The 27,860-nt window shown below is 41.9% G+C and overlaps 1 protein-coding gene across 11 annotated transcripts in view, besides 1 other annotated feature; it reads left to right on the forward strand.

The window, feature by feature from the left end:
* The window catches only part of PBX1 (PBX homeobox 1), a 326,864-nt gene that overhangs the window by 225,440 nt on the left and 73,564 nt on the right, over window positions 1-27,860 (forward strand). For all 11 annotated transcript variants that reach the window (XM_011509590.3, XM_011509592.3, XM_017001395.3 and 8 more), the window contains 4 exons: window positions 7,871-8,115; window positions 15,076-15,266; window positions 22,919-23,054; window positions 27,367-27,526. In XM_011509590.3, the coding sequence (XP_011507892.1) occupies window positions 7,871-8,115; window positions 15,076-15,266; window positions 22,919-23,054; window positions 27,367-27,526 (732 nt within the window). The remainder of the gene's footprint in view (window positions 1-7,870; window positions 8,116-15,075; window positions 15,267-22,918; window positions 23,055-27,366; window positions 27,527-27,860) is intronic.
* Window positions 15,155-15,655: an enhancer, noted in NCBI's record as "H3K4me1 hESC enhancer chr1:164769015-164769515 (GRCh37/hg19 assembly coordinates)". NCBI's record gives its function as "activates a minimal SCP1, AML or CMV promoter by ChIP-STARR-seq in primed H9 embryonic stem cells {active_cell/tissue: H9 hESC(primed)}" and the evidence as "EXISTENCE:reporter gene assay evidence [ECO:0000049][PMID:30033119]".

Here is a 27,860-nt window from a genome sequence, read left to right on the forward strand (position 1 = left end):
AAAACCTCACACAAAGTTTTACACATTGTGGCTGTTGGCTAAATGTGAAAAACGAGTGAATCTAAGAGCTCCTCGCAGGACCACGTTTATTTGGAAAGTCAGCACGGTGCCTGGCACCATAGTAAATGCTCAATAAATATTCCTGGGCTGAAACATTTGAGGGCCGCAAATTCTTGCCTTTGTTTGACTAAATCCTTCAAATCCCTGAACTTGGTTCATTTACTAAATCCTTCAAATCCCTGAACTTGGCCTACCTGCTTGGCAAACCAAGAAAAACAGTTGGAATGGCTTAAAAACAATAATATCTTACCTTCAATACAAATCCCCCACTTTAAGAAACCCTGGACCTAGATTAAGTCCCACCTCGGTGTCTCTGAGATTCTAGAGGGCTGAGAGACAACCCGGGGGAACAAGGGTGGCTTTCAACATTTGGAGATTTCTTAAACTACAGCTTCTCATCTGAAGAGGCCGCTCCAGGCCTACTGCAGCATCCAGGGTCTCCACTTGGGGCTGGAAGGTGTCAACTCGGGTGGTAACTGCTTTCCCTGTATAATCAGAAGCGCTGACTGACACCTATCAGTAATGCTGACTTGTAAAATTTAGAAAACAGAATCATCAGTCATTTCTATTTGTTTGATGAATAACTCTTTAAAAATCACCATTAAAAAAGGCATTTCACATCAAACAGAGAGATTGAGAATAAGGAGTGAAGAACACGAGGACCTGCTGCCCTGAGTTTCAAGACACTAACAGAAGATTTGGGTCCCACCTTTGGTTGAGAAGAATCAAATTAGAGCATAGTTATTTTTCAACTTGAGGAGGTTCCGGGCTGTGGATATATTGTGCTTATAGGAAGTAAACAAAATCAGAGGAAGAAGTGTATGTGCATCAGTTGGATGCACACAAATCTTCAGATTTTCAGTTGTTATCCACCCACCCTGGCAATCTCATGTACCCACAAGCCTCAAAGCAGTTGGTGTCCTGTGTCCGAGGGACTGGAGGAGCGTAAACCATGGGCTTCTTGAAGTCGGAGCCCATATCTGGGTCATCCAAGGTCCCAGGATCCAGCTCATTCCTGTCACCTTGGAGGTACTTGAGCAGTAATTTGTTTGATTGCACTGAGCGTTCCTCAGAGGGCCTGTTTGTGGAGACAACCTCTATGTGGCCCCTTGGCTGCCAGGCCCTGTCAGCCCTCACAGAGTGCTTCTTCCCCAGGTACCAGTCAGGAACCAGGCCTTTCCCAGCACCCAGAGCCTTTGTCACCGGTAATGTTGGCTTCCTGGGGTCATACCAGGCTGGGTCCAGGAAGCTCTGGCTTAATGCCAGTGTAGTTTTGCTTGTTTAGAATTGTCAGATTTGATAAGGCAGATTTGACAGTTTTTTGAAGTGGATATGGAAGAGGTGGCAGAGAGAACAGCCTTCTACCCAACAGCATGCTGGCTCTGGTACAACTTGTAACTGGAATGCAGGGGGAAAGAGAGCACATACAGGGAATTGGCTGCCTGGCTGAGAACAGGAAGCTGAGGCACAGATCCTTGGATCTCACCAGCCCGTATCTTCCCTCCTTGATTCTTTATTATATTGCTCTTAAGAAATATTGGAACAGACATTTAGTGTCAGGGGCCCTGTGAGGTTGTGTGGGGAACCGCCTTTCAGGAGTTCACAGTCTTGCTGGCAAGATGGTAGGTGTGCCCTGGCATGTCCTGAGATGCCCCATGGCTGTGGTCTAGGCAGTACGTGCCCTGGTGCCTCAGAGGCTTAGAGATCATTTTCGGCTCTTCTCGTCAGGGCAGATTTCATGAAGGATTTTGAGCTGAGATTTAAAATGAAATAGGACTGTAGTAAGTGGATTTCTGTGGCTGAGAAAGAAGAGGGCATTCTATCACCCAATACAGTGGCTCTAACCATGATGGTGGAAAGAGGTAATGGGAAAGGACCAGATTTAGAGAAATTAAAAGAAATTAGGAAATCAATAGAAAAAACTTCCTTCTTTCCATTACTATCTGATTGTTTTCTTCTTGGCCAGAGTATCGGTGTGCCTTGGGCATCAGAAGAGACTGTGTGTGTGTGTGTGTGTGTGTGTGTGTGTGTGTGTGTGCGCGCGCACACACACACACGCACAGAATAGATATCACATCCATGTAGCTGCCTGTTGTGAAAAGGATTCAGAACTCCAATATTGTAGAGGACTGAAGTGTCTGAGAGTTAAAGATCTAGAGTTCAGTGTCGGCTGTGTCTCATTTGCTTTGATTTTGGGGAAATGTGCTTTGCCTTTATAATCTTCGGTTATCTGCTATGTAAGTTTGGAACATTACTTCATGTTTTGTAAGGTGATGTAATTCAGTGCGTGCAAGTACTTTATGAACAAATAAAAGGTATAACTCTGATGCTCTCAGGAAGCAAGCATTTTGCTCTTTTCCTAAAACTGCATAGCTGACTTGGGAATGAGGCGGGGAGAGCTGGTCTCTCTTTTCTAACTCTTCTGGTAGGATGTGGTAAAGACTGAGCTCCTGGGCAATAGAACACTCTGCATGGAGGTTTGTGCCTACAAATCAAACAAAGAGATCAGCCAGAGAGAGCCTGCCTTTTTGCACACACCGTTGGGAGGCTACCTTGTGCCTTTCCCCAGACCACCTGCCTCTGCTTTCTGTCTTGTTCTTTATCTGTTTCTCTCTCTCAGCTCAGCTTTGGGCCCCTGGACTGTTGTCCAAATCTGAAGACCACCCTCCCTGTAGATCTGCCCTCCTCCCCTCCCAACCTGCCCCCACCTGTGGAAGTTTGAATCTGAGCAGAGGCATTCCCCCAGCATGAACCTGGACACTTGACTGTCCGCCCGCCTGGAGAACCAGTCCTTGGTGAAGAAAGAGTGCCCTCTAGTGGGCATTGGCTGGAGCTGCTCCGGACCCACGTCACTCAGCCAAGGACAAAACAACCCGCCACACGGCCCTCCCGCCAAGGATGATCTTGACTATGCCTTTGGGTTTGGTTTGTTTTTCTCCTTGTGTGAAGAAAAAGAAAGAAAGAACAGCAGGAGACAAGTGGTGAGAGCAGCTCCCACAATGCTGTGACAGTCCCTTTATCTTAGGACTTTTACCAAAGAATTAACCCCAGGGCAAGCGATGGCAGCAAGGTACATGTGACATCAGAAGCTTTTTAAAGGACTTGTGACAATTCCTGTATAAATCACCTACCTGTCTCAACTGGTCTCTTCCATAATTGGGTGGATTTGTGGGAAGGAAACTCTTTCTGTAAGAATGATTACCAAATGGGTTAAATATCTTCATGGGCGCAACCCCTCTGCAGATTGCATATCCACTGCAATCAATGACATTTTTCGGGTAGTGGACGCGTCCGGGCCTGCCTGGCCATTAAAACCCTATATGCATGAGGACAAACAAGGGATTTGGCCCTTTAAAACCTATTTCAGAAAAAAGCTGCTGGGGTGGGGAGGGAAGAGATGAGGGGGAGGGAGAGAGCGCAGGGCACCCATCAGGGAAGCAGGAACCTGATCATATGTGATGGTTGCTGGATTAGGTAACAGCTCCGCTGGTTGAAATTGGATCTTGGAGGATGAGTGTTAACATCTCTGGTGTCCTGGCGAAAGGTTCATTTGAGTCTTGCATGGTGCTGCAGAGATAAAAAGGAGCTTTTAAATAATCATTTTGTCTCCTACTCACCAGAGTACTGGCTTCCAGCAATAAATAGGTAGCATCAGTTCTGCTTAGACATATCACCCTTTTCATTTATTTATTTAATGTTGGTGTTTTTTTTTTTTTTTAACCGCCGAGCTGAACAGTTTGTGTATCAGTGAATCCCAACACCCATTCTTAATAGTGGTATATTTGGATTCTCCTTGCGCTGGCTACAAATATGAGCATGCAAGGTTGTTTATTGGTCCATCCCTGTCCCCTCCAAGCATTACAGACACAGCCCAAATCCACCAGAACTGAATTTTCTATGCAAAATAGTGCAAGATGGTTTTCTTTTAAGGTTTTCCCTTGTTCATATTGTTCCTTAAAAAAATTTTTTTTGGGTTTTTGCACAATCATTTTCTATTTTCATAATTTGAGTATAATTTAAAGGGTGTAATTTGGAAATGACTGTTGTTGGTTTTTCTACCCGCCGCCCTCCCCCCCCCGCCCTTTTCTTTTCATTCTTTTGTTTTCTTCAGAACTCTGATTGGGGACCTATTTATGTGTCTTGAACTCTAAGTGTAAATGCAAGCAATATTTATGCCGTGGTGCATTGTATCTATCTTATCAATTTCTAATTGGCCACATTTAGAAACTAAGTCTATTAACTCATAGTGAATTCAAATTTCTTTTTAGGGAGTATTTATTTGCAGGATTCACAAAATGATGTGAAAGCTAAGCGAAATACTAACACTTTCTTGCCCCAGCCAACCCACCACCACTGCGCCCAATTAAATGTATCCTTCATACCTGAAAGAAAAGAGGCAGTATGCTTTATGCTTTAAGCTTTGCAACCCTCCTGAAACTTCCATGGCGGGTAGGGGCTTGCAGTTTATCCTTTCAGTGTTCTTTGCCAGCCTTGACAATTTCCTTTCTTATTTTATTTAAAACCAGTTAGATTTGAAGGCCAAGAAATGTATTAATTAGGAGGTGTGTAGAGTTTGTGTGAAATTGTTTGTGCTTCCCATTGACTATTTTAAAAAGATGGTGTTTTAAAAAGATGGAGCAGAGGCATGAAACTGAGAGGGGTTGGAAAGAGGAAATATTCTCAGAGGTTAATATTAGGTATATGGGAAATATTCATAGTGATGTGTGCGTGATCACCTGTGTAGCTCCTGGAGGAGCGAGGATCAGAACTGTCTCTCTGCCTTGCCTCTCCCTTCTTTCATACCTCACTGAGTTTGGCTGGAGGAATAAGCTGATGGAATGAATGAGGCCGCTTGGGGTACCCATGTGATTGGAGGAGGTAGGATACTTGATGTCAGCTCAAGTAGGCAGTGCTTAACACTAGCCCTGGCAAGGCAAGTCCTGACCATTAATAGGACATCATTCTTTTTTGCTTTGCTGTTGTTGTTGAGACCAGAGGTTGTCCTAAAATCTCTCAGTGTTGGGCCGCATGCAGGACCAGTTGGGTGTGGAGTAGCCAGGTGGACCCACTTGAAGGCATTAACACCCAGCTGAAGGGTTACCAGCCTCAGCTTCGTGGGGAATGTTCCTGCCAGCCGTGGGGGCTTACGGCCTCTTCTGAAGGAAGTATATTGGACATGAGATTCAGTGAGCGAATGAGAGAGTAGAATTTTGCCCCAGCACAATGTTTTGAATAATCGAGCTAAAGTGAAACAACTATATTTATTAATGGCTCAGAGGCGATTCTTTTTTTTTTCTAATTTGTAAATGACCCATAAATTTCTTTGTGGATAAGGCTATTAAAATTTATCATATAAAGAGAAACAACCACATAGAGGTGAAGGAGAGGCTGCTGGGCGCTGCTGCCAGATGTTTGGATGCCCCGAGATTCTTTTCGGTGCCTTTAGGGCCTGGTATTCAGGGCATGGTTACAGCAGCCATCTACTTTCTTAAGGAAACCTTTGTTAGTGGCAATTTGTTCTTCAGAGTGCTTCGGAGATTTAAGTAAATAAATTTAAGAAACAATAACGTGACTAAATCCTTATTGTGCAAAGATCAGCCAAAGGAGCAGTTTCCCATTCAGTCTCCTGAGCCTACAAAGGAAGGATTTTATTGGAAAAAAAAGTCCACAAAATAAACCTCAATGACCTCCTAACCTTTTGCCGTCACCACTATGGCAATTTTGTTTTTGTGTAGCAGAATATTACATATTCAGGTTTGAAGAGAGAAGATCATGACGTGGTAGTGTTGTGGTTTGCGTCTAGGGTGCAGGCTTCCTTCTTTTCTCCTTCCCAGCTACCTGCTCTCCCTCCTCCCTCCCTCCTTTCCTTCCTCTCATCCTTTTTTACTTCACCACGGAGCCCAAGCTTCTGCCCTGCACCTTTTGTCCTCTTTGCTCTTTATGGCCACCACTGATCCACATGGCTCGCCATTCCATTTGATGGTCTCGTGTTTTGTGAGAGCCATACTGTAGTTTTCCTTTTGGCCTAGGAATTGGGATTTCCTTCTGAACAACGTTCAGGGTTGGTTCTTTTGCTGCCTGTTGGCAGCCAGGAGCATGTGGGCACAGCCAGCAGTTATGCTGGTATTATATGTGATGACGCTCAAACATCTAGACATACCCTCATTGAGCTCATCTTCACCTTCCCTGTTACAACCCGAAGCCCTGCTTTGCCAGGGCTGGGAGACACCTGGAACTGGCACTGTCCCCCTGGGGCTCACCAGATGCACTCTGCCATGAAAACAGCTCTTGACTGTGCTCTGGTGTGTGGATATCCACCAGGGACTTAGACCCTGCCACCTCCATCCCCAAAATGTCAACCAACACCGGACCCCTCTCCTCTGCCTTTAATCACTTCCCTCTTTCCCACCCTACCCACACATTCTTTTCAATTTCTTAAAAATTGAAAACACTTTTTATGTTCCCTCTTAACAAAGACTTGGCTGCTGACAACTGAACTGGATTTAGATGAGTGATTTATTTTATGGGAGGTTGTCTGAAGGGGTAGTAAAAAAGACTGTCTCGCTCTTCTGCTGATTTACTAAATCACTGGATCTCCTTCAGTCCAAATCACCACCAAGGGTCCTGGTGTTTTCATAAAGATCAGCCATCTCATTGATCTGAGACGCCATCCTACCAGAGCACTGGCTTCCCTGAAACCCTGGAGACAGCTTGTTAAAAGGACCTCACCCTTGTTTCCAACAGGACAGAGTCCTTATCACTCGGAACACATAGATCTCAATGTTTGGAGCTAAACGACCCTGCTCAAGGGCCAATTTGTCTTCTTGCTATGTTAGACCTCACTCTCTGCTAGTCCACAGGAAAGGTCTGAAGATTTCGTTCCACATGTACTGGATTTGTGTACTTCAGGTGATTTTGGAAATGAAAAATTTAGACTGATCAAGCATTGCAAAGAAAGGCAATGAGTGCACAACCACAGACTTATGGAAATTTAAAAGGAGAAATAAAGAGGGAAATGCTTTTCCTTAAATTGAAATTAGGTAGTATGGGGATGAAAGTAAAAAATATATTTTGTTATGATTACATTTTTCTAGTTGAAATTTTTTATTGTGGTAAAATATATATAAGATAGAATTTACCTTTTTGGGGGGTGGGGGTGTGGAGTCTTGCTCTGTTGCCCAGGCTGGAGTGCAATGAGTGGCGTGATCTCAGCTCACTGCAGCCTCCGCCTCCTGGGTTCAAGGGATTCCCCTGCCTCAGCCTCCCGAGTAGCTGGGACTACAGGCACGCACCACCACGCCTGGCTAATTTTTTGTATTTTAGTAGAGACGGGGTTTCACCATGTTTGCCAGGATGGTCTCGATCTCCTGACCTCGTGATCAACCCCCCACTCAGCCTCCCAAAGTGCCGAATTTACCATTTTAAACTATTTTTAAGTGTACAGTTGAGTATTATTTTGCAGCCATCTCAAAAACTCAGCTTCCCAAAGTGAAATTCTGCGCTCATTAAACAATAGCTCCCCACTCCTCCCCACAACTCATGGTACCCATTATTCTACTTTCTGCCTCTTATAAATTTGATTATTCGAGATTCCACATACAAGTGGAGTGTAATTTTGGAACAAAGCAAGTCCCTCCTTCATTTTCTCACCCTCTCAGTTTCTCTCTTTTTCCAGCCTTTCTTCTATTCCTCAAATGGCATCTTGCAAGTAACTTGGCAGCTTATGTAGCCAAAGAACACAAATGTGTTGTGTTTTTTATTTTCTTTCTTGGGTTACTATTAACGCTCCCTTCCCTGTCTTTTTCTGTAGTTTTGAGTATCCGAGGAGCCCAGGAGGAGGAACCCACAGACCCCCAGCTGATGCGGCTGGACAACATGCTGTTAGCGGAAGGCGTGGCGGGGCCTGAGAAGGGCGGAGGGTCGGCGGCAGCGGCGGCAGCGGCGGCGGCTTCTGGAGGGGCAGGTTCAGACAACTCAGTGGAGCATTCAGATTACAGAGCCAAACTCTCACAGATCAGACAAATCTACCATACGGAGCTGGAGAAATACGAGCAGGTAACCAGAACCACCTGGGGCTCGGCACCCAGGCCCTTTAGGAAAGGGTGGAGGAAGCACAACCCCGGGGCTTGCAGAGAGGAGCGGCTCACCTTTCCCAGGTGCTGGCATCCCTGTGCCCGGCATCCCCTGCCCAGCCACAGAGCCCTGGCCAAACTTGAGTCTGCCAAGTCCTGGTCTCAACTGTTAAAAACCTAGGCATTCAATGGAGGTAAAGGCATTAAAAAATGTGTGACGCTGTAAATGATTTCAAGGAAACATAAATCGTGCATAGAAGGAACACTCCATACCTGGACTCCAGAACGTGTGTCTGTGATGTGCAGGCCTGGCTCTCATCCGGGCGCTATAGGTGATCAGCAGAGTCACCAGCTAACCTGCAAGAAGGTGGGAGGTTTTCTCTGGCCCTTGTTTTTCCTTATTTATCAGGAGGCCTATACTTTTTCTGGGTGCTCATAGTATCCTATGGGAAAGGACTTAAAACTTGGCCCTAGAGTCCCTCACTTTACCCAGACTCAGTTCAATTGAGAGTCAAACGTATTCCCTCTTTTACATAATATATGGTATGGAATATGACACAAATCATCCTCTGTAAAAAGGGTAGGAGGTTCAGGAGACCCCTGGAGCCAGACAAACTGGGATTCTAATCCGGGCACTCCACAGATGGTTTGTGGGACTCAGTGTTCTGCATACTCAATTCTGAAAGCTGATGTATGGCACAGATCTGTGGATTTGGAGTCACGGATGTGAAGGACCATAAAACTTATATAAAGGAAAGGGCAAGAAAGGCTGTTAACTACAAAGCAGTACATGTAGGGTCTCCCGATTATAACAGAGCCCCTCTCTAATAGAGAACCCCCATCCCATCCTCCCCACAACACATACACACATCATATAGCAATGCTAGTTCCTCTGGTTAGTGTAAGCATGCTACTTTATCAGGAGTCCTTTAACAGCAGCCTTTCATTTAGATAGCAGATAAGTTTGTTGTTATCTCTTGGGATGCAACATTATATTGAAGTTCTCCATTACCCTACTCTCATTGAATCATTAGCTTTTCTTTTCTTTTCTTTTTTTTCGTTTCTTCTTTTCTTTCCTTTGCTTTCCTTACCTTTCTTTTCTTTTTTTTTTCCTTTCTTTTTTTTTTTTTTTTTTTTGAGATGGGGTCTCACTCTGTCACCCAGGCTAGAGTGCACCGGCACGATCTCTGTTCACTGCAACCTCTGTGTCCCAGGTTCAAGCAATTCTCCTGCCTCAGCCTCCTGAGTAGCTGGGATTACAGGCAGGTGCCAGCATACCCAGCTAATCTTTGTAGTTTTAGTAGAGACAGGGTTTCACTATGTTGGCCAGGCTGGTCTTGAACTCCTGACCTCAGGTGATCCACCTGCTTCGGCCTTCTAAAGTGCTGGGATTATAGGCGTGAGCCACCACACCTGGCCCCTTTCTTTTTAAAAGCCAAAAAAGAAGACAGAGAAAAAGTGGAAGGTAGAAGACCTTGTGCAGTCCACTTGTAACTATCTAGGTAGAAGGCAAATGCAAACTTAATAGAAAATTTAAATTTTAAAATAGAAATAGGCATTTTAAAAATTTAAAGTGAATAAATTTTCATTACTGCACTCCTATCTACCTTTGGAATGGATTTCTACAAAATCCTCTCTTTTATGAGGGCAGAAAAATTGCTGTGAAGCCAAGAATAGTGAAATTTGACCATCAGACAAGGTGTAGGGAGGGTGAAGGGGAGGAAAATAAAAGCAAGCTGTGGTAAGAAGCTGTGAGTCATCCTCCTTTGCCTTCTTGGGAAAGAACAAATGTTCTCGCCACAGTGTTGGCTCATATAGACATTTCCCCAGATCCCAGGCAATGCTGAGCTCAGAGAGCTGGCTGAACTGTGACAGTTTCCCCAACCATGACCATCATTTAGAATTTGCAGTCTGCTCTAACCTAAAAGGGTAATTATGGAAGGCAAATGGGGACAGACCTCTCGCTGACCTCTTGGATTCTTATTACCCAATGTTCTTCCTAATTCACCTTCACCAATAACCCTGTCCTCTGGCATAGCAAGCTGTCCTCCAGATTTGTCCTCCAGGTTAACTCGTGCCAAAGAACAGGACACAAGACAAGCCCAGAGTGCGACTTCCTTCACTAAACCATAATTGCAATGGATGTTAGGTTGGGAGGTGTTGGAAACTGTCTTTAATCTGAGCTCAGGTTGCCAGTAATATGGAACTGCTTCCTTGATTTAAACCTTCTTATCACTCTTCCATCCTCATCCAAAATGAGTAAAAATTATGACAGCCATAGTACATTTTAATAGCATGTCACCAATTACAAAACACTGCGGCTGACATAACGGCACTTGCTCCTCAAGGCAATTTTGAGATTGGGTACCCAGGACAGGTATTGTCATCCTCTCCATTTTGATGCAGGTGAGGAAATGGAGATGAAAGAGGTTAAGATGTGGTGGAGGTCACACATTTAATGAGGGAGAGAATTTGCCCTAGAATCCAGGATTTTACCCTTACCCCAAGGGCTCTTATTAGAATAATACCTGACTCCACTTTGTAAGAAGAGAATGTGGATGTCTTTCGACAATGGGGTAAGCAGGTTGTCCTCTCTGTTACTTCCTTGGGCTAGATTACTGGCACCTAAGAGAGGGTTGTGATAAAAATATTCTCTTCAGAAACTTCTTGTGGCTACCTACCTATTCTAAATAATAAAGATATTGGAAATTGAGAACTAAAAAGCTCCATCAGTACAGAAGCAAATTATGTTCAGTGTAGAAGTTGTACTACTCATCTGTATTTATTATTTTTAAAAGTACTAAAATATCATCTATTTGTTTATATGGGCATTTTCTAGTTAAGAAGTGAATACTGCTTAATACATTTTGGATGCTTAATAATTTATTAATATTAGTTGTGTTAATTATAGTAAATAGCAGATTGTAGGGAAATTATGCTATTAACCTTCTAGCTAGTGTGTCTGAGAGATATCTTCTTCATTTTTCCTGTAACAGTTCCTTATGGGGATTTTTTAAAAATAGAAAACCTTGGTCAAGTGAAAATGTCAGTATTTTAGTAGTACCTACCTGGAATTACCAAATTGGTTACTTAATAATTAATTTTGTTGTTTTATTTTTGGCATGGTGATGGCAGATAACTATACAATAATTAGCTATTGTAGCTCACCCTCACCCTTATCCCTCCAAAAACAAAACAAAAAACTACCTGAATCAGCCATTGTTTCACCCTGAGGTTATTAAAGAAAGAAGTCTTTTGAAGACATTTTTTTTTTTTTTTTGAGATGGAGTCTTGCTCTGTTGCCCAGGCTGGAGTGCAGTGGCACGATCTCGGCTCACTGCAACCTCTGCCTCTGGTGATTCTCCTGCCTCAACCACCCAAGCAGCTGGGAATACAGGCACGTGCCACCACGCCCGGCTAATTTTTTGTATTTTTAGTAGAGATGAGGTTTCACCGTGTTAGCCAGGATGCTCTCGAGCTCCTGACATCGTGTTCACCCGCCTCAGACTCCCAAAGTGCTAGGATTACAGGCGTGAGCCACCGTGCCTGGCGCTATAAGGTATTTAAGAGCTGTCATATTATAATAGATAAAACCATGATGTCAGAAACCTGAATTTTATTCCAAGCTCTACTTTAAAAAAAAATTATCTTGTGGCTTTGTAGGATTTTTTAGCTTTTGTAAATAATGCTGTTGGGGAATCAACAGGACTAAATCTCTAATGTTGAACTGGACTGGGTTAATTCAGTTCATAGCTAAGAGAGCCCTAAGATCCCAGTTACTTTTGTTGATGAGATTGGCAGCCAAATCCAATCTCATCCTTGGATCTCAATCCAATCCATCTTTTTGAAGGAGTCAAGGAAGAAGATAGGTCTTATAGTTCAGGATGTAAACTTAAACCTTATACAAGACTTTTGAAAGGCTTCCCTTTCAGTGTCTGCTTCCAGAAACAACGTTGCCCTGTAACCTGGGAGGTCTATTAGAAATCCCTCTGCCCTATGGAGGCAGCCTGAGCTCCCAGAAAGTAACTATTGTTTTTTATGACAGCCTACAGTAGAGTCTCCTCTGTTGAGAAACATTCAGCATGTGAGGGTTTTATTTAATTAACAATTGTAACCCCAAGTATTCACATTACTGTCACATTGTGAGTGCCTGTCCTATCGGAAGTAGCCCAGCTTCTTTAGATACAAGGCTTGAGGGAAGTGAGGAGGAGGTATGGGTAGCTCCTTCCTTCCCAGGTACTGGAAAAATCTGGATCATTATGCTCTGTCCATCTAAAATGCCCTTGGAACTTTGCTCTCTGTTGTGTGTTCCTCAGCAGCTGTTTAGCAGCTGCTTTGCTCCACCTCAGCAGTGGGTGAAACGACCCCACTGTCTGTTTATTGAAGAGCAGAAAGGGCCCCGGGATAGAGTGCCCTGAATAAACATCAGATATTGTGAATATTTTTATTCACCATAATGAAGCACATTATTATTAGCTGAGCACTGTGGCTTCCCAGCTGAGAGCTGGTGCACTTGACAATACTCCCTCACATCCAGCCCCTCCTCTCTTTGAGCCCAGACGAGGTGGGGAGGCTGCAGCCCGGCGGGAGGTTGTTTCTCTAGAAAGGTGGCTAGGATGCTTGCCATGTGCCTAGCCCTCCACTCTCCATCCTGTGGTCTCCAAATTTCAGCTAACTTGCTGCCAGGTTTTATTTCCTTCTCTTGGTTGTACAGTTCCAGGTGCTGGGGTTGGCTAGGGAATGAGCTTACTATATAGATCTCGTGTTTATTTAGCACTTTTCCATGGAGAGTGGAGAGTAACATGCTATAAGGACCCGATCTTCTATGGATTTGTCTTCTGTATAGGCCCACAGAGTAAAAAGGAGGTATTTATTACCACCTTTACTTTTACCAAGAGGGAAATTGAACTCTGGAGAAGTTTACCCAGTTATCGATATATCCAAATATGCTGGGATTTCTAAGTTATCTATATTTTGAAGAGATAATTGTGACATGTACTTGTAGGGCCAGGCACACATATAGTAACTCATTTAATCCTTACTACACCTTATCAGGTAGGGTATTGCCATCTCGGTTTCACAAATTAGAAAAACGAGGCACAGATACGTTAAGTAACTTTGAAGATCCCACAGCCAAGTGAGTTCCAGAGGCAGGAGCTGAACCCAGACTGTGCTCTCACTCAGCCTCTCTGCTGTGTTCATGTGAGGGATTTGCTCAGTCTGCAGGTCATGGCACAAGAGCATGGGTGCCATTAGCCTTGCTGAAGGGTCAGGAATGATTAAAGCCACTTTTGGGTGAGTTAAATGAAGCACTGAGTAGTGAAAGGATGTGCCCAAATATTCATGGAGGCAGGGTCAAAAACCCAGGCCTCCCATTCACCAGTGTAGACACAGCCCAGTGGATGCACCTGCCTATGTACCTTTGGCCAACCAACCTCAAAGGATTTCTTAGATAAATAATCAGTAAATGTCTACTATTGTTATTGTTATTGCGTTGTCGACACATATGACAACGGCAATGCAATGTTATCAATAACGAGCGTGTTTCTGCTGTTAATAAGTTGGAGGAATTGAGTCTTTAGTTCTTTAACTCTCAAAGCATCATCTTGCCTTTTTTGTTGTGAATCTAATATAGTTTTACAGTATTGCTTTGAGTGAATCTGTGAATAGATGTTTTGTTGAATGCTCAGCTAAGGAAACCAGATTATGGATGCTAAGTCATAGTAACTAAAAGAGAGGGCAGGAGTTTTCAGAGGAGTAAGTTCAGACTCTAGGAAAGGACAGAGGCCCTGGCCTAAAATAGGAAGGGCTCAGGCCCTACCTCTGCCTCTTCATGTTTGCTGTGTGCCTGTGGAAATGTCCCTTCAGCTCTCTGGGCCACTTCTTCCTGTTAAATAAGGAGGTGGGGAAATATGATTTTCAACTCCACCTCCAGAGCTGATGATATGCTAGTTTATAACCTGAGAATTTTTATTTCTGCAGGGATAGTTCCTGAATCCTCTCAATCATGTTTTGATGCTGTTTCTGTAAGACCCCTGGGGACAGATTCCCTTTGTGTTATAGACATAGTGGATCTTCAGAAGGCCAGAACAGGAGAGGAAGTTCTTATAATAAAACTTGAAACAGAAATAGGTGGATGAGAAATCTCCCAGAAGAGTTATCAAAGCTTTTAATTCCATAATTCCATTTAAACTCTTTTGGCTATTTATGCATTCTAAAATTGAGTATTTGGAAGTACTCCTATATCAGAAATAATGAGCAAGGCAGAAAGCACATGATACATTTGACCCCAAACTCTCTTTGGCTGTTAACTTTGGGAAAAAGGGTGGTGTAGTGTGTTTTATACTAGAAGTCATATTCTTACATTTTACTGTGGTAAAATCATGGGAAAAAAAAGATTAAGATAAAATGATTAAGAAACTTTTTTTTCTCTTAAAAAAATCCAGCATTATCAGCCAGGCGCAGTGGCTCACGCCTGTAATCCCAGCACTTTGGGAGGCCGAGGCGGGGGGATCACGAGGTCAGGAGATCGAGACCATCCTGGCTAACACAGTGAAACCCCGTCTCTACTAAAATTACAAAAAAATTAGCTGGGCGTGGTGGCGGGCGCCTGTAGTCCCAGCTACTCCGGAGGCTGAGGCAGGAGAATGGCGTGAACCCGGGAGGCGGGGCTTGCAGTGAGCCGATATCGTGCCACTGCACTCCAGCCTGGGCGACCGAGCGAGACTCCGTCTCAAAAAAAATAAATAAATAAAAATAAAAATTCAACATTATCGCCAAAACTTTGAGCCACAGGGGCTGAAAGGGACGTCTACCACAAACTATCCTAGTTTTCTTTATTTGCACAAGTCTCTAGAAAAGCCCACGTGGCCTAATGTCATAGACTTGATGCGTGTTGAGGCTTGGACCCTCAATGACGGTGTTGATTGTCCTGCCATTCCAGGCCTGCAACGAGTTCACCACCCACGTGATGAATCTCCTGCGAGAGCAAAGCCGGACCAGGCCCATCTCCCCAAAGGAGATTGAGCGGATGGTCAGCATCATCCACCGCAAGTTCAGCTCCATCCAGATGCAGCTCAAGCAGAGCACGTGCGAGGCGGTGATGATCCTGCGTTCCCGATTTCTGGATGCGCGGTGAGTCTCCCATGGGGCTGTCCTGCCCTCTCTGGGAGTCCCTGATCTGGGGCTGGAGTCCACAGCCGCTGCCCCCTTCAGGCTCTAGTTTCACCCCATCAACGCTGAACCAAGTGATACCCTGAGGATGGTTCTGCGAGACTAGATGGGCCATCGGTTTCACACAGTACCAGGAAAATACATGGTTGGAGGGGATGATCTTTATCACTACTGTTATGCACTCTGGGTAGCAGCAAGGAGGACTTAGGTACAGTGAGATTTTTTTCTTTTCATAGCACTAGGTACCTCTTTTACAGTTGCGTCTTATAACTATGGGCCTGCAGCTGTCTTACTAGCATTCTATCACGACAGGCTCTCTTCAATAAAGTTTATTCCATTTGCTTGGAAATTGGGATCTTTTCCACACTGTAGATGGACAGAGAGTGCACTCAATTCAACAAATATTCCTAAGTAAATTGCTGTCTCTGGGCTAATTTTAGGAGTGCAGAGCTGAATAAGACATGGCACTTTGGACACAGAGGGACAAGGAGGTGGTCTAACATGGGCCAACTTGGTTTGATGGTTTCCATCTGGCATTGCTGCTCATGTCCTTACTTGTGAGTTCAGAGCATTCAGTTGAAGAAACCATGGATAGAAAGGACCTTTAAAAGAAGACAAGAACTGAGAACACAGAACAAGTGGTCATCTCTTGTTTCATCTACTCTCTAGACCGGTAGATTTATGTGAAACCCTTTGATTCCTTTTGCTTCTGTTATCCAGCCTGTAAGATAGTAATAGTCGTCATATCTTTCATCTACTCTAGAAGAATATTTTGATAATTCATCTAGCAAATACATTTTGATTATGGGTATGCTTTGTGATCTAGAGTTTGTCTTAAATTCATCATCTGTGAATTCAGATACCATTCATATTTAAATTCTTGATAATAATCCCAATCTGTTATTTTTATCATTGGGACATTAGATATGTCAGGGTCAGTGTACCATTTCACAGTCTATAATTTTGCCTCTTTTCAATGAGATAAAACAATTTATTACTCCTCTTGAATTTTTTCACCCCTGAGATCATGTTTTATTCAGCTCTCCTACCTGCATTTTTCTCTGTGTTCACAATTATGGTCTTTACAGTCCTTGGACCTCTTTAAAACGCCCTGGCATCTTTTTTCCTCACTCCCTTTTAGTCAATGTGTTTTGGGTTGCATGGAATATAACATGAGAATGCCGGCTAGCAAAATGTAACTCTGGGCCAGTAGAATTCCATAGAATAAGTCAAGAGAAAGTAAAAACGAAGGCCGTTTTCCCCAGCTGGGTATAGTAATGGAGTGGAAATAGGCAAAATCACCCTAAAGCAGGATCCTCTGTGCCTCTCCCTCACCCGTGGCCTGCTGTCTGCCAGGCTTCTGTAATGCAGCCCGTTCTGCGTAGTGCAAAGTGCAAGTGACTGGTGGCCTCTGTTTGGGTCCTTCCTCTGTGCCACTGCCACCCTGCATGTATTGCTTACATCTCCATGGTAACTCCCCTAGTTAAAATGCTGGAGTTGGTATTTATGTTGGCAGATATTGAAAAAAAAAAAAAAAACAATTGGCTCCAGACTGGGTTCTTTCTTTTCAAGAAAGTAAGCAGAGAGAAGGGAGGGGCAGAATTATTGTCTCATTGGATATCTTCTCTCAGTAATTCCAGTGTGCCCAGCTGAAGGTCAGACTTTAACAGACACAAAGCTAGGAGGGTTTTGTACGCAAGTTTCTTTCGCTTCCACCAGCCTTTGCCTAGAGTGTTCCAGTTGGCACCAGACGGACAATCACTTTAAGACAGGGTCTTTTTCTTGCTTTGGTTACAACATTTGAATCATTGCTTCTGAGCCAAGATTCAAAACGAAAACAACTAACCTATTGTCATCGTTACTATCATTTCATTTTGGGGGTATATTTATTACCAGTGAAAGAACATGACCCCAAATTCCAGCCTAAGGCTGAGCAAATGGCCTTCTCAGTTCAAAAACAAATGTCTGCCAGACATCCTGATTGGGGAATTCACATCAATGCCTCCAGCGTCACTAGCTATAATTGGGAGAGAGAGCTAAGCAAACTTAGTAAGAAAGACACACTCACTGCAGATATTCACATGCTCCTCTAAACCATGCATCTGATGGGCAGGGCCTCACCAAAAAAGATTTCATGGAAGACAAATAAAATACAAAGAGGACTTGATTTAGTAATAGGATTAGTCTTTGTAATCTAATAGGTGTGTAGAATTGAGTGTTACTACTTTGTTGTGGAACACTCATTGTATTAGCTTTCTATTGCTGCGTAGCAGATTACCACAAATTAAGCAGCTTAAAACAACACAAGTTTATTATCGCACAGTTTCTGTTGGTCAGGGGCCTGGGCATGGCTTAGCTGGATCCTCTGCCCTAATCACAGCGAATCTGTAATCAAGCTTATAAGCTGAGGCTGTGATCTCGTCTGAGGCTCAGGGTCTCCTTCCAAGCTCGTTCTGGTTGTTGGCAGAATTCATTTCCTTCTGATTGTACGACTGAGGGCCTCAGTTCCTAGAGGCTCCCTTTCTCAATAGGCAGGTCACAGTTTGGCTGCCTGCTTTCTTCCTGAGGGCCAGCAGGAGAAACCTTCCATTTTAAGGCTTTAATCGAATCTTCCCTTTCGTTTACTCAAAGTCAGCTGATGAGGAACCTAATCATATTTACTATGCCATCCACTTACAGGGAAGGTGTGTACACCAGGGTCTAGAGTTTTGGAATTCTGTCCACCACACCCCTCAACTAACCTTTCGGCCCTTTATGCCACTCAAGTCATTTCCTGTCTCTCTTCCTTAGATTGACTTAACTGTACCACGGAAGTTTAACTTAAAAATTCCACACATTCATTCATTCATTCATTCATTCATTCAACATTTATCATATCATGCTATATACCAAGCATTGTGCCATACAACTTGGTAAGTTTATTATCAGGACTATAAATAACATTTTTTTTTTTTAGTTAAAAGAGGGAGAGAACTTATAAGCTCTCTAAATGATTTTCGAGCATTAATCTTAACTGTTTTTCTATAACATTTTTCTGGAAATAACAGTAACACAAACAGATAATTAAAAGTACGTCTGTATACTTCACTGCAATAGAGGGGATTACATAAAGTATATTGCCAAAGAGAGGATGACAAGAAAGAGGAAAGGACATCCAAGAAGGTCTAGTCTGGTCACACTGGCACTCTACTTAGATTTACTGGCTTATCTAACTGAGCTCTTACTATCTGCCCGATGTTATAGTAGCCACTGGAACATCAAAGATGAAAAAAGTGCATATAAAGGTGGGTCCTACCTTCAAAGAGCTCATAGGACAAATACTGTTACAACTACACAGAACACCACATGTTACACATTCAGTTCATTCATCTACCTACTCCACCTGAAGGAAATGATCCAGAGAGAGGGCCTAAAATACTGAGTTTCAGAGGAGCAGGATGTTTGCCAAATAGAAGGAATAATAGCAAAATAAAATAACAGAATTCTACTTCAGCAAGCATTCCTTGAGTGCTTACTATATGCGTGAGACACAAGGGTCTCAAATATGAGTGAGATCTGTCCTCTGCCTTTGAGGAATTTGCTGTTTAGTTGGGGAGACGTATGTAAATCTGTGGCGGATGTTGTGGGAGAGAAATATGCAGGGTGGTGTGAAAAGCCACAGGAGCATGAAAGCCACGAGTCTTTGGGGAACGCAGAGGCATATGATGTGGCTAGATGAAATTGTTCAGAGCATGTGTAGGATTGAGGGGAAATGAGGCACTAGGGATAGGAAAGATCCACTGAAAACCCTTAACTGTACCAGTGAAGATTTTGAATTTATCCTATTAAACAGCAGAAACCCTCAGAGCTGTTTAAGGAAGATGTATGGGAAGTTATCACATAAAATTGCACTGGATTCAAATTCTGGCTACAACCCTGATGACCTATATGACGCTGGATAAGTGGCTTATTTTCCCAAGACTCAGTTTTCTTACCTGTAAAACAGGGATAATCCTGTAAATAGGAATAAATATTAGTATAGTATCTGGCATATAATATTCACATCATAATTCAGCTATCATAATGATTACTGTGTTATATATTATTACTGTTATATGATATATTATTGTACATTGTTATATATATACACATTATTGTTAAATTTTATAATGATTAGTGACATGATCATATCTGTGGTTTAGAAAGATTAGTGATTCTCTTGAAGATGAGCTGTATTGGAGAAAAGACAATGTAAAGAACAATTATTGAAGCCTGTGCTCCTCAAACTGGCACTGCACAGGATAAATTGAAATACTTTTCACATTTTGTGTAAGTATTCCAAAGAAAATATTCTTATTTTAAGATAAACATTGATATATTATAAAGTGGACTAAAACAAGAGGTTCCAAAGATATTTTATGTTTTTGATGGTGTCCCCAGAGCTACAATCTTTTTCCAGGAGGGCTTCTTAGGAAAGCATTGATCTAGTGTTGCTCTGGTATATAGCTATTTATTTTTAAATTTAAGTTAACTAAATACTAAATTAAAATAAATAAACATTTAAAAATTAGCTCTCTGGTTACACTAGCCACATTGCAGCTGCTCAGTAGCCACACATAGCCAATGACTAATGTATTGGACAGCAGAGATATAGAACATTTCACTCATCGTAGAAAGTACTCTTGGACAGCACTAGTCATACAGTGATACAACAGGCAGCTGCTCCTCTTCACTCACTTCACAAATAGCAGCGCAATTAGAATGAAACAGAAGAGGTAGATTTGAAAGTGTAGAACTGTCAGGACATGCTTTGGGGGCAATCATTTGATGAAGGTAAGAAAGCAGGAAGAGTTGAGAAACTCCTAGTTTCTAGCACATGCTAGGTACTCCAATCTTTGAATGAATGAATGAATGAACAAATTAGCAAATATAATGAACCATATCTATAGTAATGTCACCAAATAATAAGACTAACAAGGAAAATGGAGCTGATTTGGGTAAAAGGTGATCTTAGTTTTGGAAACAGTTTGTTTGAAGATGCTTGGAGTCTGCAGTCATAAATGGGCCAATGGCTCTTAGCAGAGGTATTAGGGCAGGAGATAACAAATTTGATAGTTAGCAGTGTATGTCTGTGATGTCTACACATCTCACTATCATGAGTCTTTTATAAAAAACTTACCCCATGGACCCTGTGATTCAAAAATATTCTGTCCCTAAAACACCATATTTATCCAGTAATATTTTATCAGCTTCCAAATTTCTTAAATTCAAAACCTAGATGCCCAACTCACAAAGCTACTGATTGGTTTGAAATCACAAATGTTAACTCAGCAAGGTGATAACACTTCAAGCCAAAGCAAAGAAACCAGGTGTCTCAGTTAGCTCAACCTTATTGTAGAAAGGTGTTATTTTCACTAGGTTTCTTGAAATTTGGAAAAATCCTGATCCTAGGATTTCAAAGGCCCTAGATTAAGACAGCTACTAAAAGAAGTGATAAGCGAGTCCATCAGAGTAGGTGAGACCACCTAGGGAAGATTGCACATCACAAGGAGAGAAGAGCTGGGAACAGCTGTCTGCACCATCCGCATACCACCAGCTCATTCCAGAGAGGTTTCCTTTGAGTTCAATTGGAAGAGTCCCAAAAAATACACAGTAATGCTAATGCAAACAACTGAATGAAGGAACGGAGGCTCTCCAAATTAGGGAGCCTTCAGGGTCCAGTTCCCCAGGCCTAAAACAACAGTCTTTAGGCGAAGAAGAAAGAGAAGCCAAAGGTTATCTAAAGCCTGGCCTGCAGACCCTGTTAGTCACTTGGCTATCTTCCTCAAATTCCCATCATGCAAGAGCTTTTAACACATGCCCACTTTGCAGTTAGGCTTTTAAATCCAATCTGTACAATTTCTGATGCTGAGTGACCCAGAAACTCAGCATGATTTAGGAGAGTGACTTGGGCTTGGCATAATCTGGACAGATGTGGTTAATACCTGTGGACAGATGGTGTTCTTCCGGTAAAATCAGGCACTTCATTGTGTTAATTAATCCAAGTGGGACCCTGAAAATACAATATTAGCTGAATTTCCTGTCTAGCAAGGCCATCAGTGCTTTCTGTTGGCTAAATTGGGAAATCCTATATCCTGGTATAATCAGGGATGTTCTGGAAATCTTTTCCATAAGGAAAAGCTTTTAATAAAAGCAAGAAAGGCAAAAGTGCTAAGTGAGCTAATTTAAAGATGAAGGCCACACAACTTCAAGGAGGGCCAACCAGCCCCTGCATTGAGCCTGCAACTCCCTCAACTATCCACAGGCCTTCATTGTCAGGAAGCAATAAAGTGATTCTCACTTTAAATTAGTTCAATTAGCACTTTTTTTTTAAGGCAGAAAATGCTTTTATTAAAAAAAAGTGATTTTCTCCTTTTTGGCAACCTGTATATGAAAAAGAATTCTGTGGGCTTTTGTTTTACCATTTAGCAGCTGTTCTTGCTTAAGAAGTGCCACTTTTCTCCTTTTGAGGGATGTCAAGCTGTTGGGGGTTAATTTCAGTCAGTTCTGTGCCCTCTTCCCCAGATGCCTTTTAAAAATGTTACATGCATTTACATGGGGATAGAATGGAAAGAACATGATAACTTATTTTTAACTTATGGCTGCAGAAGCTCTGCATAATTGTGAGGAGCCAATTTGTATAGAAGAGAGAGATTGGGTTTTGTAGTGGTCAGACCTGAATTAATACCTTAGCTCTGTTACATACCAGCCAAGTGACCTTTGAGCTCAGTTCTTCATCGGTAAATACGAATAATCATATCTGCCTCAGTAGTAGTGAAAAATGAATAACTTGAATTGATTGCCAAGAGGGAGGGGTCAGGCCCAGTGCCTGGAACCTGGTAGGAAGAAAGACCAAGTTGTAGCAGCTGCCACGTGTTGGGCGCTGTGCTGAGTGCTGTCTTTGTGTGGTCTCATCTCTTCCCTACTCTCACCCTGTGAAGTCAGTATCACCCTCTTCACTTTCACGGAAGAAGCTGATCGAAATCACCCAGCTGATATTCAATTGACCGAGGATTCAAAACCAAGATGGGGCTGGGCGCGGTGGCTCATGCCTGTAATCCCAGCACTTTGGGAGGCTGAGGCAGGCAGATCATGAGGTCGGGAGTTAGAGACCAGCCTGGCCAATATGATGAAACCCCATCTCTACTAAAAATACAAAAATTAGCTGGGTGTTGTGGCACGTGCCTGTAATCCCAGCTACTCAAGAGGCTGAGACAGGAGAATCACTTGAACCCAGGAGGTGGAGGTTCCAGTGAGCCAAGATCACACCACTGCACTCCAGCCTGGGTGACAGAGTGAAACTCCATCTCAAAAAAACAAACCAAGATGGCCCGAATTTTGAAACTTTATACTCCTCACTACTCTGCAAAAATATCTGTGACCACTCTTCTGTTCGGTGCCCAGATGGTACACAATGAAGTATTGAGCAAATGCTTTTAGCGTTGGTTTTGGCATCCAGCCCCTTTTGGTAAATCTGCTCCAAATTCACCTTTTGCTCAAAAATTTGTCTTCTCCCAGAAGTAGATTTATTCTCTCCCATTTTATATTTATTTGGTGTGAGCCTTTTTGTTATTATTTCCTTTCTCTTTACAAAGGCGGAAGAGACGGAATTTCAACAAGCAAGCGACAGAAATCCTGAATGAATATTTCTATTCCCATCTCAGCAACCCTTACCCCAGTGAGGAAGCCAAAGAGGAGTTAGCCAAGAAGTGTGGCATCACAGTCTCCCAGGTAAGCAGCACCTCAAAAGCCTCAGCCTGTAGCCTGGCCATGGCGGGGCCTCCGGGGCAGGCTCTTAGAGGTCTTGCTTTACTGGACATTCATGCCTTGCAAGTTCCATCAGCTATAGCCTTAAAATATCAAGGTAAGCACTTGATGTGTATGCGTATAAGTGAGTTTCTAGGTAAGTACTTGGCAAAACTTGAGAAGAACCAGCAGAAGGAAGAGAAGAATAAGTAGAGTACAATGTAAAAACAGGATTAGGGTTCTTCCCATCGAGCACTCCTTTGCTTCAAATGGGTGAGGTGTCTAAAGTGTACTAGGAAAGTTATCTGCATTCCTCATGCTGTTTTTTCAAATTCAGTCAATTCCTTAGCCATTTTTTGCCCAACCCAGGAACTTTAAGAGTCAGTGAATGGAACTAGTTGTTATATAGCCTTTTAAATGAAAGAACTTAAATGTCTCCTCTTGATGTGCTGACTCTATAACTGATGGGAGTGTAGGAATTTTAACATGTCACTGCGATTACATTGGAATGGTGAACAAAATGTCACTGAATGCCCCCTTCCCCCAAAGAGCAATAACCATAACAGGTGGTGTCTGATGACTTGGAAAGATACATGACATAAAATTTTTATAGGCCTAGAGTTTTCAACACGAATATGAAGCAGAGAAGTAGGCAATAATTATGTGTACGTGTATTTTGTCCACTCAAAAGATCCACCCAAACTTCTTATTCAGTCTGAACCTCAAATACCACCACTGGTTTCTAATTGAGAACCATAGTGATAATTCTGAAATCTATCGGAGAAGGTTTTTCTTAGAATTTTGTCACATGCAGGAGAATTAAATGTACTGATATTTCCATTAAAACTGGGGAGGGGAGGGAGTAGTGAAGGCTACTGTAGCGAGAAATTTCACTTACCATTTTTCAAATGAAGTAGATGCTCTTTTATATAAACTAAGCATCTGTACCTCCTTGAATTGAATCCTGACTTCTGTTAATCCCTGCAGGGTGCTGATCCCATCAACCTGTGTTTAGCTGTACAGAATTAGGTCCAGTCAGAATATAGAGCTCCACAAAAGTATTGACAATGAAGGGACTGTCCAAGCCTTCCCAACAAACTAAGATGATTTTACAGCAGCAAATATCCTTGAAAACATTCTTTCAGATAAAGCAGAATGAATTGACTCCTTTTTAACCTGGGCCTTCCTTAGGTGCTTTGACCCAGCTGGAGGTCATTTTTAGTCTTGACAGTTCTGGGAAACGGGAACGTCAGCGGTCAAACTCAAGTAGCCTAGTTTTTTCTAGGGCTGTCACCATTCTTATCCAAATCTAAACCCCTTTTCCACAAAAAAGGGAATTAATGCTTTTTGATACTTGCTACATGTTTGAGGAATGCTTCTAGGTATGGACCACAAATATGCAGCAAATATCAAATCACTGAATTTTATCATGGAACCTTCTGCTTTTAAAATATAATTAAATTACTACTGTCTGAATTCCAAGTGTGGAATTCAGAATTTCAACTTCCTGTTGAAGGTAAAAGGAATTCTCCTGGAGGTAATTTGTAGTATAGCTGGATACAAGTTAAAATCCTGATCTGTTCCCGCAACCTTCACTTCCTTCATTATGGAAACTCAAGGTACAAATAGTGTGTCCATTAAAATCCTTATTTACATATTGTGTCACCTTTCCCTTTCCTCTGTCCATGCCAAAGTCATGCCATTCTTTCTTCCCCATCACATCTGTCTCTCCCCAAAGCAACTAAGCTACCATTGCTAAACAAGTCCAATGGAAGACAGTATAATATGATGTCATAGAAGGAGCATTAAGCAAGGAGCCTATTTTTGACAAGAGTCAACTGTGGGATCCTAGGGAACTCACTCTTTCTTTTTGGATCTTAGTTGCCCCATTTACTAATCATGGTTTGTTGGATCACATGATTTATTAAATCTTTCTCCTAATTCCCAAAGCCAGGGAATACCTCTTGGGCTGTATCATTATTGTCTTTTTTTGAAGTCACAAATTCTTTTGAAATCTACTAAAAGCTATTGATTTCCCCCATGACCCAAAACAAAGATATGTTGCCCATACACCCAAATCCATCTGAAATCCGCCTATTGACTGTATCTCCTCAGATCCCTAAAGAGCCCTTTTTCTATACCAGAGCTACTCTAAGTGTGATCCACAGAATGCAGCATCAGCATCCCCTGGGAGCCTGTTAGAAATATAAATTCTTGAGTGTCACCCTAATTCTGAATCAGAATCTTTGAGGGTGAAATCTATAATAGAAATTTGTTTTAACAACTTCCCCATGAACACTTAACTTTGAAAAGCAATGTTCTATATGCTTTATCTGAGTGATCTTTTCCATGCTCACAGCTACAAATAATACCTCCATTTGAATACCTAATGGAACTTCTCCCCTGCAGCACCAAACTCATAAATTTTACTTCCTAATGGACTTCATCATGGCTCTGCCCAGAGGTTCTTCAAAATTAACTTGTTCAAAATGTGAATCAAACTCTTCCCATAAAACCTACTATTCTTTCTGTATTTCATGTCTCATTCTGTGTCTGTTATCTATACATCCCTAGTGCCTAACGCGTATTAGGCCCTTAGTCCATGACTGTTGAGTAATTAGTTCATTCATGATAACACTCATTTTATACATTGTCCAGATCATTGTCTGTTGGACAATGCAGGAAGTCCCTGAACTGACCTAGCACCTTCCTACCAGTTCCATTGTTGTCATTTAGAAGGGTATCATTCCCACAACATGTCCCCTCTTTACCCCCTTCAGCTCATATTTTTTTTACATATAATTGGACCTCAGGTATTTCTTCTTCAAAAGTCCTCTGAAATTATCTTCATCTTTTTCCCTTTTCTTTCAGCTTGTGCAGTTATCTGAGAAAAAAAATCTCCTTACCTTTTTTCTTCTTTTCCTATCCCATAAATCAAAAAGCAACCATAATTATGACTGATTCCTATGAATAGTGAAAGTTATGTCAAGAAAAACATAAATTTCAAAGTGAAACTAGATATGCAGTGATCCTGAAATACACCCAAAAGTGTCCTTCCTCCTCCAGTTTACCTCTTTTTCTGTAGACATCAGTGTTTACAATAAATAAAGCATTTTCTTATTGAATTTTTTTCTTTTTTGTTTAATATTGTGGTGGTACAGACTGATTTTTTTTTAAAAAAGAAAGGCTTGGCATTTCTGCTGTAGTATAAACTGTATAAGCCTTTCAGTGCTATCCTTATAAGATGTTTTAAGTTTGTTAATGCGTTTAAAAAATTAAGTATAGTTTTGCAACAGTTTTCTTTATCTGCCGTCGTTGGGAGTTAAATATCAATGATATGTAAGCTGTGGTACATGTGGGATCAACTCCCCCTTCCCTCACCAGATTCATAGTTTGTTTTGTAATTATATAAAAACATCGACATTTTAGTTCAAAATCATATCTGGAATGTGGGATATAAAACTTTCCTTCCCCGGGCAGGAATTATGGGGGTAAAACTTGAATTTAACTGTGTCTCCACTTGTGTCTGGCAGAGGTCTTGGTATGAAGGGAGCAGAGGTACCAGATCAAGCCAAGACACCTGCTGCGAACCACATGAAGGAAATAAATTAACAAATGAAAGTAAATTAGGTTTATTGTGTCTGCTGGCTTTAACATTTAAACCCTAGAATTCAAGGGGATAATCATTTGTATGCTACAGTTTTTCCTTATGTAGATAACACTAAGCTTTACACAAAATAGTCAGTGAAATCTGGTAGATTGAATTATATTGATCCTAAGGTCTATAGTGAAATACAGCTAAGAATCTCAGTCCACATTAAAGTTATGTAACTTCTAAAAATTTGCAATTAATCTATCACACGAAAGCACCTATATGGACATTTAAAGATCTGTGTATCTTGATGGCATCAAGCCAGCTTTCACATTGATAAACGCTAGGGGCATTTCTCCTGAAATGTTAGGTATATTTTAGTGTCATAACTGAAGATGTAAGCAAATTTAAAATGCTTGCTCTAAATTAAAAGGGTTCTAGCTTAAATGAGCAGCTCCTTTATAGGAAGATTTTTGTCACAGTGGTTTCGCTAAATTTCAGTTATATTAAACAAGAGAATCGCATTTTATGTAGTTGTCCTTTTGAAGCTCTTACTTCAGATCTTTTTACTGATGTTGCCAAATTATTATAGGATAAGACCAATTAGCTTACCTCTTCACCTCTCCCATAAAGCCTTTTTTTTCTTCTGCAATGTTTCTGAAGGATGAAATGTGAACTTTCTCATCTTCTCTTAAACTACTCTAGGTATCAAACTGGTTTGGAAATAAGCGAATCCGGTACAAGAAGAACATAGGTAAATTTCAAGAGGAAGCCAATATTTATGCTGCCAAAACAGCTGTCACTGCTACCAATGTGTCAGCCCATGGAAGCCAAGCTAACTCGCCCTCAACTCCCAACTCGGCTGGTTAGTTTTTTCTTTGATTGGGGGTGGGGGAAGGAATTGTTCTCCATTTTTATACTGGCTGTTCCTACATTGGGATTTTCTTTTAATTTGTTAGGCTTTTGATTGGTTAATTTCTGTATTTGATTGTATTTTTGGATGTTAATGTCACTTTGGGCTCTTTCTTTCATTTCCAAAGAGCAATCTGTTAGACTTTTTACAACGTGGGTTGTCTGGAGGTTTGCATTAATTTGTCTATTAAGTTAAGACCAAAGTAAATTGGTTAGCTTGAAGAGACCTCTAAATTCTCCTCTCAGGGATATCAATAAGTAAGTTAGACATAGTGCTTAGAGATAGT

This window comes from Homo sapiens, chromosome 1 (assembly GCF_000001405.40).
Source record: "Homo sapiens chromosome 1, GRCh38.p14 Primary Assembly".
NCBI classification, from domain to species: Eukaryota; Metazoa; Chordata; class Mammalia; order Primates; family Hominidae; genus Homo; species Homo sapiens.